At 48.5% G+C, this 14,676-nt stretch overlaps 3 annotated features.

Moving 5' to 3' along the window:
- Positions 1,641 to 2,186: an enhancer, noted in NCBI's record as "H3K27ac-H3K4me1 hESC enhancer chr17:19366221-19366766 (GRCh37/hg19 assembly coordinates)". NCBI's record gives its function as "activates a minimal SCP1, AML or CMV promoter by ChIP-STARR-seq in primed H9 embryonic stem cells {active_cell/tissue: H9 hESC(primed)}" and the evidence as "EXISTENCE:reporter gene assay evidence [ECO:0000049][PMID:30033119]".
- Positions 9,735 to 10,244: an enhancer, noted in NCBI's record as "H3K27ac-H3K4me1 hESC enhancer chr17:19374315-19374824 (GRCh37/hg19 assembly coordinates)". NCBI's record gives its function as "activates a minimal SCP1, AML or CMV promoter by ChIP-STARR-seq in naive H9 embryonic stem cells {active_cell/tissue: H9 hESC(naive)}" and the evidence as "EXISTENCE:reporter gene assay evidence [ECO:0000049][PMID:30033119]".
- Positions 13,839 to 14,676: an enhancer, noted in NCBI's record as "H3K27ac-H3K4me1 hESC enhancer chr17:19378419-19379256 (GRCh37/hg19 assembly coordinates)". NCBI's record gives its function as "activates a minimal SCP1, AML or CMV promoter by ChIP-STARR-seq in naive H9 embryonic stem cells {active_cell/tissue: H9 hESC(naive)}" and the evidence as "EXISTENCE:reporter gene assay evidence [ECO:0000049][PMID:30033119]".

The following is a 14,676-nucleotide window of genomic DNA, read 5'->3' on the forward strand; positions in this document are numbered from 1 at the left end:
CTCCCATCACAGGTGCAGAGGCCTAGAAAGAAAGAATGGTTTTATGGGCCCAGCCTGAAGTGTGCCCTGTGCCACTTAGGGAGGCTCCAGCTCCAGCCATGGCTCAAAGGGCCCTAGGGACAGCTTGGGCCACAGCCACAGAGGGTGCAAGCCATAAGCCTTGGTGGCTTCCATGTGGTGTTAAGCTTGTAGGCTGGCAGAGTACAACAGTGAATGAGGCTTGGCAGCTTCCCCCTAGATTTCAGAGGATGTATGAGAAAGCCTGGGTGCCCAAGCAGAAACCTACAGCAGGGCTGGAGCCCTCAGAGAGAACCTCTACTAGCACAGTATTGCCCAGCCTCAGGTATTCCTTTATAGCAATGCAAGAATGGCCTAACACAACCAGAAAGCCTCAGGACCTTTGGCCAACAAGCGAATAGAAACTAGTGTGTGGGACAGAGCACCATGTGGCAAACACCTGAGTAGAAAGAGAAAACCTCCGAAGAGGTGGAATAGTGGAAATGTGGGGTTGGAGGCCCCACACACAAAATCCCCACTGGTGCACTGTTTAGTGGAGCTCTGGGAAGGGGGGCTAATGTCCTCCAGGCCCTGGAATGGTAGAGCCACTGGCAGCTTGTACCCTTGTGCCCAGAAAACTGTGACAGGAGCGACGGGAGCTGAACCTTGCAAAGCCACAGGGGCGGAGCTGCCCAAAGCCTTGGGAGTCCAGACCTCATGCCAGTGTCCCTGGATGTGGGACATGGAGTCAAAGGAGATTCTTTTAGAGTTTAAGTTTTTTTTGTTTTGTTTTTGTTTTTTGTTATTTTGAGACAGGGTCTTGTTCTGTTGTCCAGGCTGGAGTGCAATGGTGTGATCTTGGCTTACTGCAACCTCCACCTCCCAGGCTCGAACGATCCTCCCACCTCAGCCTTCTGAGTAGCTGGGACCACAGGTGCACACCACCATACCCAGATTATATATATATATGTATGTTTATATATATAATATATATGTGTATGTTTATACATTATATATAATATGTATAATATATGTGTGTGTATGTTTATATATAATATATAATATTAATATTATATGATATATTATATATATAATATTATATATATGTGTGTGTGTATATATATGTAGAGATGAAGTTTAGCTATGCTGTCCAGGCTGGTCTCAAACTCTCAAGCTCAAGTGATCCACCTGCCTCGGCCTCTCAAAGTGCTAGGATTACAGGCATGATCCACCATGCCCAGCCTGGAGCTTTAAGATTTAATGACTGCCCTACTGAGTTTCTGACTTAATTGGAGCCTGTAGCCCTTTCCTTTTGGCCAATTTCTCCCTTTTGGAACAGGAATGTTTACCCAATGCCCACTTCCCCATTGTATCTTAGAAGTAAATAACTTGTTTTGATTTTACAGGCTTATAGATGGAGGAAGGAAATGAGTCTCAGATGAAACTCTGGACCTGGACATGGGACTTTGTGTTAATGCTGGAATGAGTTAAGACTTTGGGAGACTATTGGGGCCAGGCATGGTGGCTCATGCCTGTAATCCCAGCACTTCGGGAGGCCAAGACAGGTGGATCACTTGAAGCCAGTTGGTCAGACCAGCCTGACCAACATGGTGATACCCCGCATCTACTAAAAATACAAAAATTAGCCAGACACGGTGGCGCATGCCTGTAATCCCAGCTACTCGGATTGCTGAGGCATGAGAATCACTTGAACCCAGGAGGCAGAGGTTGCAGTGAGCCAAGATAGTGCCACTGCACTCCGGCCTGGGCAACAGAGTGAGGCACTGTCTAAAAAAAAAAAAGACTTTGGGAGACTATTGGGAAGGCATGATTGTATTTTGCAATGTGAGAAGAATATAAGATTTGGAGGGGCCAGGGGCAGAATGATAGAGTTTGGATGTTTGTCCCTGCCCAAACCTCACGTTGAGATGTAATCCCCAATGTTGGAGGTGGGGCTTGGAGGGAGGTGCTTGGATCGTGGGAGCAGATTCTTCGTGGCTTGGTGCTGTCCTCGTGATAGTGAGTTCTGCTGAGGTCTGGTTGTTTAAGTGTGCAGCTTCACTGGTGCAATGCTTTCTCTGCTTCTGCTTTCCCCATGTGACATGCTGCTCTCACTTCCCCTTCCACCACAAGTAAAAGCTCTGACACCTCCCCAGAAGCTGAGCAAATGCTGGTGCCCTGCTTCCTGTACAGCCTGCAGAACCGTGAGCCACTTAAACCTCTTTTCTTTATATTAGGTTGGTGCAAAAGTAATTTGCAGCTTTTGCATTAAGAAAAAGTAGCAAAAACTGCAATTATGTTTGCACCAATCCAATAAATTGCCCAGCCTCAGGTATTCCTTTATAGAAATGCAAGAATGACCTAACACATCCAGAGAGCCTCAGGACACCTGGGCAACAGGGGAATAGAAGCCAGGGTGTGGGACAGAGCATTGTGTACTGAACACCTGAGTAGGAAGAGGAAACCTCCGCTGGGTGTGGTGGCTCATGCCTGTAATCCCAGCACTTTGGGAGGCTGAGGCAGGTGGATCACCTGAGGTTGGGAGTTTGAGACCAGCCTGGTCAACATGGTGAAAACCTGTCTCTACTAAAAATACAAAAATTAACCAAGCGTGGTGGCGCATGCCTGTAATCCCTGCTACTCGGGAGGTTGAGGCAGGAGAATCACTTGAACCCGGGAGGTGGAGGTTGTGGTGAGCCGAGATCATGCCATTGCACTCCAGCCTGGGCCACAAGAGCCAAACTCCATCTCAAAAAAAAAAGAAAAAAGAAAACCTCCAAGGAGGAACCCTGTAGAAAACTGCAATGTGACACGTGTTCACTGCACGTGGCACAAGCCGGAGAAGAAAATGTAAATAAAGCCTAGGAACAAAAACTCAGAGCCCTAATGAGTAAGTTTGGATTTGCAGGAGAGGGGAAAGACACGCTTGGCACTCACAGCCTCACTGAGTACATTTTCTCCACCTAAGTGAGTCCACATGTTAATTTACTCATCGGGGAGCAGCCAGCACAAAGCCTGTCCCCCCCAGTGATATGAACACCCTGGCCAGGCACATGCAGCCAGCAGTGCATCCTCACTGGGACCATATCCATGGCTCCTGTGCTCTGCGACTCTGCTCCTGCCTGGGTAAGGCTTCTGTCCCCACAAAGACCACCACTGTTCTGCTTTTCTCCCACTCTGGGTAAGTTTTGCCTATTCTGGAACCTCCTATTCATGGGCTCATACAATATGTTCTCCGTTGGGAACTATGTTCTTTTTGTGCAGCGTGAGGCTGTGTGTGCCAGCGGTGCTTTTATTGCTGAGCAGTGTTCCATTGTGTGCCTGACCACAGATTGCTTTTCATTCTGCTATTGGTGGAATCCTGGGATATTTCCAGTTTGGGGATACTATGAATGAAGCTGCTATGAACATCCTTATACGAATCTTCTGGTGAAGTCATCATAGAATTTGGAGACCAAGTTTTTGCCATCATTTATTCGGAGCCTAAAGGACCAGACGAAAAACCTGCCCAGGGTCACACAAGACTGAGAAGCCCAGTAAAGCACTCTCTGACGTCAGCGACTCAGGTCCTTTGGTCCTGTGCCTGGCTTGGACAGAGTCAGGCTTGTTCAACACTCTCTCCCCATCACCTCAGGTTCCCCATATCCCATTTACAACATCAGGATTAGCTCCCAGGCTTCTGTGGGGTGAAGAATGGGGACTGGTTTTCCTGTTTCACTTTTAGCCTGGGCTTAGGCTATGAGCAGGTCAGAAAGGGGCAATGAGGCTGGTTGCAGTGGCTCATGCCTGTAATCCCAGCACTTTGGGAGGCCAAGGCGGGTGGATCACCTGAGGTCAGGAGTTCAAGACCAGCCTGGCCAACATGGCAAAACCCCATTTCTACTAAAATACAAAAATTAGCTGGGGGTGGTGGTGCATCTCTCTAATCCCAGCTATTGGGAGGCTGAGGCAGGATTGCTTGAACCTGGGAGGCGGAGGTTTCAGTGAGCTGAGATCACGCCACTGCACTCCAGCCTGGGTGACAGAGCGAGACTTCATCTCAAAAAAAAAGTGGGGGGGGGGTGGCAAGGAGAGCAATGAGATCATATTTCCCATGTGCTGTGTGAACACTGGTGCTCTGTGAAAGGGCCACATACGCAAAGCAGCCCCAAACGCAGAAGGAGCTGAGAAACCAAAGAACAAGGCACACACATCCAGTGTGTCAGCAAAGGGTGGTTTATTTGGGGAATTTAAGGCAGAAGCATGGTCTTGGGTGACAGCAAGACAGGTGTCCACACTCCCAGACCCAGGGCTTGTACACCATGGAGAAAGTGTGCATTGCTCTACAGAGACAATGGCAGCAATCCAGAGCAGGCAGGAATGCTGTGCATCATAGCCTAGAATTTGTGTGATAACATCAGGGTTGACACGTTCTCACACTAAGGACAGGAAATTAAGTCCAGGCCCTTTCATGGAACACCAGTGTTCCATGGTGTTCCTGATTAAGTGTAGGAATCAGGAGGCATTCCTGGGACTGGAGCTAATCAGAGTCAACACGGCAGGTTTGCAGCCCAAATGGTCACTTTGTCTCTGCAGTTGGTGTCTCCCTTCCCTTCTGAGTCTCATTAACCCCATGTGCAAATGAAGGGGATTAAGGTCACTCTGGGGCTCATTCTGGGCCTAATGGTCTCTGAGGTTAACCATCCATGATGGGTAAAGTGAAGAGGGGTGTCTTTCCCCTCTGCTTGCTCCAGTCACTTGGCCCAGAGGCCCCCCTCCAAGTGAGCTCCAGGAGGGCTCCTGCATACTCCTCTCCCAGAACACAGCTCCAAGGATGCCATGATGATCAGTGTTTTAAAATGTACCTGGTAGTTGCTTTTTATACAGATATGGCAAGGCTTACAGATCTGGAGACATTTGCCATTGAAAACTAGTTACTTGAGCACGGTGGCTCATGCCTGTAATCCCAGCACTTTGGGAGGCCAAGGTGGGTGGATCACCTGAGGTCATGAGTTTGAGACCAGCCTGGCCAACATGGCAAAACCCTGTCTCTACTGAAAATACAAAAATTAGCCTGACTTGGTGGTGGGTGCCCGTAATCCCAGCTACTCGAGAAACTGAGGCAGGAGACTCACTTGAACCCCGGGGGATGGAGGAGGTTGGGGTAAGCTGAGATTGTACCACTTCACTCCAGCCTGGGCAAAAGAGCAAAACTCCATCTCAAAAAGGAAAAGAAAAGAAAGCTAATTACTTGGCCAGGCATGGTAGCTCACCCCCAGCACTTTGGGAGGCTGAGACAGCCCAGAAGTTTAAGACCAACCTGGGCAACATGGCAAAACCCTCTGTCTACAAAAATACAAAAATTAGCCAGGCGTGGTAGCACGTGCCTGTAGTCCCAGCTACTCAGGAGGCTGAGGCAGAAGGATCACTTGCACCAGGAGGTGGAGGCTGCAGTGAACTGTGATTGTGCCACTGCACTCCAGCCTGGGTGACAGAGTGAGACTGTGAGGACCCCACCACAAAAAAAAAAAGAAAAAAAAAAGTTACAGTTCTCAAGAGGAGGGAGCACGCCACCCCATGCAGGGCCATGCAGAGAAGCATTGAGGTTGGCCAGAAGGCAGGAGCGAGGGGAAGGCGTGGATAAAAGGCTTTATTGGGTTTTCTCTGGAAGGAATGGGCAAGGCAAGGTGAGTAGGCTTAGGGTTGGTTAGTTTGAATAATTTCCGCAGGCTCTGCGGTGTAGAGTGTCCCAAGTTGTCTGTTACCTGGCCCTGGGATGATCTGGGGTGCAGAGGAGCTGCAGAGCCAGCCAGCCTGTGGAACTCCTGGCAGGGTTTCCTGTAGGCACTGCTCACCTCTCCTCTGCCTTCCCAGAGCTTCACTGCCAATGAGCAGAAAGTCCAAGGAATTGGGAGTGTATCTGCAGAGACCCATCTTAAACTATGTACAGGCTTCCAGAAGACAGTCATTTAACTGGAGACCAAGTTAGGCTGTGGGTTGGAGAGGGCTGGAAGAAAATGACAGTGAAATTTGTTTTTCCACCAAGAGACATAGTGCCTCTGTTGGGAGGTGGGGGAGCTTCTACACTGAAGTGGGTTAATCTCTGAACTGCTCCTCTAGGGCTGAGGCCCCCCAGCCGTGCATGATGCCCTGAGCAGAAGGGTCTGACCAGGAGAGGGCACCAGAGCAGAGTGCGGGTCAAAGTTGCTAAAGCCCACACCACGGGTGGCCTGGGGCTCTGGGGATCCCCTGGAGTGGCTGTGGATTGTTGAGCCTGGCAATATATTGTGCATCATTTTTTTTTTTTTTTTTGAGACAGAGTCTCACTCTGTAGCCCAGGCTGGAGTGCAGTGGCAGGATCACGGCTCACTGCAACCTCCGCCTCCTGGGTTCAAGCTATTCTCCTGCCTTGGCCTCCTGAGTACCTGGGATTACAGGCGTGCGCCACCACACCCAGCTAATTTTTGTACTTTTAGTAGAGACGGGGTTTCACCATGTTGGCCAGGCTGGTCTCGAACTCCTGACCTCGTGATCCACCCGCCTTGGCCTCCCAAAGTGCTGGGGTTACAGGTGTGAGCCACCGCACCTGGCCTACTTTTTTTTTTTTGAAACAGAGTCTCACTCTATCACCCAGGCTGGAGTGCAGTGGCATGATCTCAGCCCACTACAACCTCCATCTCCCGAGTATTCTCCAGCCTCAGCCTCCCAAGTAGCTGGAATTATAGACATGCACCACCACGCCTGGCTAATTTTTGTATTTTTTGTAGAGATGAGGTTTCACCATGTTGGCCAGGCTGGTCTTGAACTCAGGTGATCCACCTGCCTCAGCCTCCCAAAGTGCTGGGATTACAGGTGTGAGCCACCACTCCTGGCTTTTTGTATTTTTTTTTTTTTTTGAGATGGAGTTTTGCTCTTGTTGCACAGGCTGGAGTACAATGGCGCGATCTCAGCTCACTGCAAACTCCACCTCCCGGGTTCAAGCAATTCTCCTGCCTCAGCCTCCTGAGTTGCTGGTATTACAGGTGTACACCACCACACCCGGCTAATTTTTGGTATTTTTAGTAGAGATTTTGGCTAGTTTTTGGTATTTTTAGTAGAGACGGGGTCTCACCATGTTGACAGGAGTTCAAGGCTGGTCTTGAACTCCTGACCTTGTGATCTGCCTGTCTCGGCCTCCCAAAGTGTTGGGATTACAGGCATGAGCCACCGCACCCGGCCCGCTTTTTGTATTCTTTTAAAATAGAGAAGTGGTTTCACCATGTTGATCAGGCTGGTCTTGAACTCCTGACCTCAAGTGATTCTCCTGTCTCGGCCTTCCAAAGTGCTGGGATTACAGACATGAGCCTGTGCATTGGATTTATCTGATTTCAAAAATCTCAAAGACCCAGGAAATGCATGAATTAGTATGACAAAAGATCCCCCCACATGCGAATATTTGAACCCTAGAAAATCTGAGCCAGGGCTGGGCGCAGAGGCTCACGCCTGTAATCCCAGGACTTTGGGAGGCCGAGGTGGGCAGATCACGAGGTCAAGAGATTGAGACCATCCTGGCCAACACGGTGAAACCCTGTCTCTTAAAAACACAAAATTAGCTAGGCGTGGTAGCACGCACCTGTAATCCCAGCTACTCGGGAGGCTGAGGCAGGAGAAACACTTGAACCCAGGAGGCGGAGTTTGTGGAGAGCTGAGATCTCGAGATCTCGCCTTTGCACTCCAGCCTGGCGACAGAGCAAGACTCCATCTCAAAAAAAAAAAAAAAAAAAAGAAAATCTGACCCATGTGTGACCTCACAAATCATCCATCCAAAATGTTCATTCTACAGATAGGGAACCCATGACCCAAAGAATAAAGCTTGTCCAAGATCAAACTGAAGCCCAGGATTTGGGAATAGAAACCAAGGGGCAAGGAGGTAAATGGGATGTCCATCACTTATTTATTTATTTAGAGACGGAGTTTCACTGTTGTTGCCCAGGCTGGAGTACAGTGACGCGATCTCGGCTCACTGCAACCTTCGCCTCCCAGATTCAAGTGATTCTACTGCCTCACCCTCCCGAGTCACTGGGACTACAGGCATGCGCCACTACACCCAGGTACTTTTTTTGTATATTTTGTAGAGACAGGGTTTCACCATATTGGCCAGGCTGGTCTTGAACTCCTGACCTCAGGTGATCCATCCACTTGGCCTCCCAAAGTGCTGGGATTACAGGCGTGAGCCACTGCGCCCAACCCGGGTCACCAATTTCAGGGGCTGGAAAATCAAGCACAGGCTTATTCCTCCCTCGGTGCCTGGAGTGCCCTCTAATGGCTAGTTCAATAACCGCCTCGAACATCTTAAGGTAAGACACGACATAGTCATGAATATTTAAAGTCCTTCACTGCTCTCCAGGAACCTCCCCTCCTTCATTAGTGTATGTGTGGGGGAAACATACACATCACTGAAATTTAAGTGCCATCATGATGAACCTTTTTTTTTTTTTTTGAGACGGAGTCTTGTTCTGTCGCCCAGGCTGTAGTGCAGTGGCATCATCTCGGCTCACTGCAAGCTCTGCCTCCCGGGTTCACGTCATTCTCCTGCCTCAGCCTCCCGAGTAGCTGGGACTACAGGCTCCCGCCACCACGCCCGGCTAATTTTTGTATTTTTAGTAGAGATGGAGTTTCACTGTGTTAGCCAGGATGGTCTCCATCTCCTGACCTCGTGATCCGCCCGCCTCGGCCTTCCAAAGTGCTGGGATTACAGGCGTGAGCCACCGCGCCCGGCCGAACCTTTTTTTTTGAGACAGGGTTTGGCTCTGTCTCTCAGGTTGCAGTGCAGTGGTGAGATCATAGCTCACTGCAGCCTTGACCTGCCGGCCTCAAGCCGTCCTCCCACCTCAGCCTCCTGAGTAGATGGGATGACAGGCGCACACCACCATGCCTGGCTAATTTTTGTACTTTTTCTAGAAACGGAGTCTCTCTATGTTGCCCAGGCTTGTCTCAAACTCCTGAGCTCAAGCCATCTTCTGGCCTTGGCCTCGCAAAGTGCTGAAATTATGGGCGTGAGCCTGGCGAGGATGAATATTTTGTCTGCTTTGTTCAGGATAGTGGTCTCTGTGTCCATGGCAGTGACCACACCCATGCATAATAGACATTGAATAAATACTTGCTGAATGGCTGAATGAATTAAGTACTCACTCTGCACACAGCTCTATTTCTGGATTTTTGAGGTGCTTCAATCAACAGATATTTACCAGTGGCTTTCTGTGTGCAATATACCATGAAGAGAGTCATGGAGTCAGAAAAATTTTAAAGCCACTGTTCATGTCCTAATAGAGTTGCCGTTTATTAGTGTACAAGACAAACCACAAATCCTAAGTGTAGAGATAACATGGCAAAGATGAGAGGGGTGAGCAAAGCCATGGCGGCGAGCCAGGCAGACAGACGGACTGCAGCCAGGCTCCGGGGCCTCCCGGGGAGATGGGGTGCACGTCCAGGTGGGAGAAGTCGGCTTTCAGAACAGGAGAAGGGACGGCTTTCCAGGGCTGGGGCCAGTGCCTGCCTCATTTTCCATCTCTCAATTCCGCATTCTTCCTCCTCACTCACCACAGTCGTGGGGGCTGAATTCCCGAATTACTAAGACTCGCCTCTCTCGGGGAACTCGGTCGCTGTCCTTACCACCTCTCCGATGGCTCCTCCCATCCCTGGCCACGTCCACCTTTGGATGCTTCTTGCCGTCACACAGTCCCACACCCAGCTGCGCAACTGAGCACTCACAGTGTTTAGAATCCTGCAGCCGCTGGCCCCAGGCTTTGACTCCACGGGCTGAGGCCTTTAAGGACATCAGCAGGACCGAGCCAAAGGAGCTCCGCCCACCCAGCCAGAGAACACTGATGCAGGGAGATGGAAACAGGATTTAGTTACTGAGACCTTGTTTACACAAAGATACTCCAAGAGAACTCATGGATGGGAGGGAGTTGAGTCTTGGCTGCGGAAGCAGGCGAAAAGAGAAGTAAACCGATCTCCATGGACCGTGGAGCGGTTCTGGGCAGGTGGCACTGTAGGAAGAAGACAGGAGCAACGGCTAGATGGAAGGCAGGCGTGCTTTGAGTGTGGCAGACAGCGGGAGACTGGGTTCAGCAGGACCCTAGGGGTTCCAGGTCATGTCACAGCTTTATTAAGATATAATTCAGGCCGGGCGCTGTGGCTCACGCCTATAATCCCAGCACTTTGGGAGGCTGAGGTGGGCAGATCACCTGAGGTCGGGAGTTCGAGACCAGCCTGACCAACATGGAGAAACCCCGTCTCTACTAAAAAATACAAATAAAATTAGCTGGGCGTGGTGGCGCATGCCTGTAATCCCAGCTACTTGGAAGGCTGAGGCAGGAGAAGAGCTTGAACCTGGGAAGCAGAGGTTGCAGTGAGCCAAGATCGCACCATTGCACTCCAACCTGGGCAACAAGAGCGAAACTCCGTCTCAAAAAAAAAAAAAAAAAAAAAAAAAGGATATAATTCATATACAATTCATCAACATAAAGTGAGCAGTCAATAGTTTTTAATATATTCACAGAGCAGAGCTACCATCAACACAATCAATTCTAGAACATTTCCATCACCCCAAACAGGAACTCTGTCCTCATTAGTCGTCATTCCCAAATCCCCCACGTCCACTGCAGCCCTAGACACCACTAATCTACTTCCTGTCTCTAAGATTGCCTATTATGGACTTCCATATAAATGGAGTCGGTTGGGCGCAATGGCTCACGCTTGTAGTCTCAGCACTTTGGGAGAACAAGGCGGGTGGATCACCCGAGTTCAGGAGTTCGAGACCAGCCTGGCCAACATGGCGAAACCCCATCTCTACTAAAAATACAAAAATTAGCTGGGGGTGATGGTGGGTGCCTATAATCCCAGCTACTCGGGAGGCTGAGGCAGGAGAATCACTTGAACCCGAGGGGCGGAGGTTGCAGTGGGCTGAGATTGCACCATTGCACCCCAGCCTGGGCGAAAGAATGAAACTCCGTCACACACACACACACACACACACACACACACCCATAAATGGAGTGTACACATGGTCCTCTGTGACTGCCTTCTTTCCTTTGCATGTGCTTCCAAAGTTCATCCATGTTGGAGCATGGATCGGTATCTCATTCCTTTTCATGGCTGGAGAATATTCCAGTGTAGGATACACCACATTTGGTAATCAGCTGATGGACATTTGGGTTGTTTCCATCTTTGGCTACCGTGAACATACCATGAATGTTTAGGTAAGAGTTTTTGTGTGCATATATATTTTCATTTTTTTTGATATAATCTAAGTGGATTTGCTGGGTCAAATGGTGACACTGTTTAGTTTGGGAACTGCCAGTCTATCTCCCAAAGGGGCTTCAACACTTTACATTCCCACCAATAGCATTTAAGGGTTTCATTTGTCAACACTTCTCCAACTTCTTGCCAACACTTGTTATGACTTGTCTTTTTTTACTATACCCATCCTAGTGGGTGTCAAGTGGCATCTCAATGTGGTTTGGATTTAGACTTCCATGATGACAATTGATACTGAGCATCTTTCCATGGGCGTTGGGCAGTTTGTTTGTGTGTGTGTATATGTGTGTATATATATATATATATATATACATTTTTTTTTTGAGACAGCGTTTTGCTCATGTTGCCCAGGCTGGAGAGCAGTGGTGCAATCTCTGCTCACTGCAACCTCTGCCTCCTGGGTTCAACCAATTCCCCTCCCTCAGCCTCCCGAGCCTCCTGAGTAGCTGGGATTACAGGCATCTACCACCAGGCCCGGCTAATATTTTGTATTTTAGTAGAGACAGGGTTTCACCACTTTGGCCAGGCTGGTCTCGAACTCCTGACCTTAGGTGATCCACCCACCTCAGCCTCCCAAAGTGCTGGGATTACAGGCGTGAGCCACCGCGCCCGGCCAGTTTGTATATCTTCTTTGGGGAAATTTCAGATCTTTTGTCTATTTTAAAAATCCAGTTATTTGTCTTTTTATTATTGCATTGTAAGAGTTCTTTATATATTTGATATGTTTGGGTCACAGGGGCAGATCCCTCATGAATGGCTCAGTGCCCTCCCCATGGTAATAAGTGAGTTCTCACTCTGTTAGTTCACTAGAGAACTGGTTGTTAAAAGGAGCCTGGCACCTCCTCGCCTCTCTCCCACTCTCCCACTTGCCATGTGATGTGCCTATTCCCTCTTTGCCTTCTGCCATGATCGTAAGCTTCCTGAGGCCTCCTCAGAAGCTGAGCAGATGCGGCTGCCTGCTTGTACAGCCTGCAGAACTGTGAACCAAATAGATGTCTTTGTAAATTACCCAGTCTCAGGTATTTATTTATAGCAGTGCAAAAAGGACTAACACAATATTCTAGATATGAATTCCTTGTCAGGTATATGATTTGCAAATATTTTCTCCCATTTTGTGGGCTGTCTTTTCATTTTATTGGTAGTGTCCTTTGAAACACAGAAGTTTTTAATTTTCATGAAGCCGAATGTATCTATTTTTTATTATGTCGTTTATGCTTTTGGCATCATATCTAAGAATCCAAGCTCACAAAATCTTAGCCCTATGTTTTCTTCTAAAAGAGTTACAGTTCGGGCTCTTACATTTTGGTCTTTGGTCTATTTTGACTTAATTTTGTACATGACATGAAGTGGGCATACAACTTCATTCTTTTGCATGTGGATATCCAGTTATCCCAGAACCATTTGTTGAAAAGACTATTATTTTTCCACTGAATGGTCTTTGCAGCCCTGTTGAAAATCAGTTGACCATAGATACATGAATTTATTTCTGGACTCTCAATTTTATTCCATTGATCTATATGTCTATCCTCATGCCAGTACCACCGTCTCTTAGTTACTGTTGCTTTATAGTAAATTTTGAAATCCAGAAGTATGAGTCCTCCAACTTTGTTCTGTTTTCAAGATTGTTTTGGCTACGCTGCTGCATTGAGTACCCACACAGATTTTAGAACCAGCTTGTCAGTTTCCTCAAAGGATCCAGTCATTATTTTGATAGGATTGCATTGATTCTCTAGATCAATTTCAGAAGTACCAACATCTTAACAATATTCCCACCCATGAACGTGGAAAGTTTTATTTAGGTCTTTCTAAATTTCTTTCAATGAAATTTTGTAGTTTTTAGAGTATAAATTTTATACCTCTCTTATTAAATTTATTCCTATGTACTTTACTATTTTGAGGATATTTAAAATGTAATTATTTTCTTAATTTTATTTTTGAATTATTCATTGCTAGTATATATTTTTTTATTTTTAATTTCTTTTTTTTAACATTTTTTTAAGAGATGGGATCTTGCTATGTTGCCCAGGCTGGTCGTGAACTGCTGAGTTCAAGCACTCCTCCTTGGCCTCCCAAAGTGCTGGGATTATAGGTGTGAGCCACCACACCCAGCCCATTGCTAGTATGTAGAAATACAATGGATTTGGCTGGGCGCAGCAGCTGATGCCTGTAATCCCAGCACTTTGGGAGGCAGAGGTGGGCGGATCATGAGGTCAAGAGATCAAGACCATTCTGGCCAACATGGTGAAACCCCATCTCTACTAAAAGTACAAAGATTAGCTGGGCGTGGTGGCGCTCGCCTGTAGTCCCAGCTACTCGGGAGGCTGAGGCAGGAGAATTGCTTGAACCTGGGAGGCGGAGGTTGCAGTGAGCTGAGATCACGCCACTGCACTCCAGCCTGGCGACAGAGTGAGAATCTGTCTGAAAAAAAAAAAAAAAAAAAAAAAAAAAAAGCAATGGATTTTTGCATAGCAATCTTTTATCCTGCAAACTTGTGGAATTAAAACGTTTTAGTGGATTCCTTAGGATTTTCTGCATATCCTGTGGATTCATCTGGAATAGGGATAGTTTTACTTCTTCCTTTCCAATCTAGATGACTTTTATTTCTTGTTTTTGTTTAAAATCTCTACTACAAGGTTTAAAAGAAGTGATGGTCTTCTAAGTTCTTGATCTTAGGACTGGGGTAAAACATCTGTCTTTCACTATTAAGTGCAATGTTAGCTGTAGGCTTTTCTTAAGGTGCCCTTTAGAAAAATCCCACGCTCCCTCTCCCTCCCCCTCCCCCCTCCCTCTCCCTCTCCCCACGGTCTCCCTCTCCCCACGGTGTCCCTCTCCCTCTCTTTCCACGGTCTCCCTCTGATGCCGAGCCGAAGCTGGACTGTGCTGCTGCCATCTCGGCTCACTGCAAACCTCCCTGCCTGATTCTCCTTCCTCAGCCTGCCTAGTGCCTGCGATTGCAGGCGCGCGCCGCCACGCCTGACTGGTTTTCGTATTTTTTTGGTGGAGACGGGGTTTCGCTGTGTTGGCCGGGCTGGTCTCCAGCTCCTAACCGCGAGTGATCCGCCAGCCTCGGCCTCCCGAGGTGCCGGGATTGCAGACGGAGTCTCGTTAACTCAGTGCTCAATGTTGCCCAGGCTGGAGTGCAGTGGCGTGATCTCGGCTCCCTACAACCTCCACCTCCCAGCCGCCTGCCTTGGCCCCCCAAAGTGCCGAGATTGCAGCCTCTGCCCAGCCGCCACCCCGTCTGGGAAGTGAGGAGCGTCTCTGCCCAGCCGCCCATCATCTGGGATGTGAGGAGCACCTCTGCCTGGCTGCCCAGTCTGGAAAGTGAGGAGCGTCTCTTCCCGGCCGCCATCCCATCTAGGAAGTGAGGAGCGTCTCTGCCCGGCCACCCATCGTCTG

Source organism: Homo sapiens, chromosome 17 (assembly GCF_000001405.40).
Source record: "Homo sapiens chromosome 17, GRCh38.p14 Primary Assembly".
Taxonomy (NCBI): domain Eukaryota; kingdom Metazoa; phylum Chordata; class Mammalia; order Primates; family Hominidae; genus Homo; species Homo sapiens.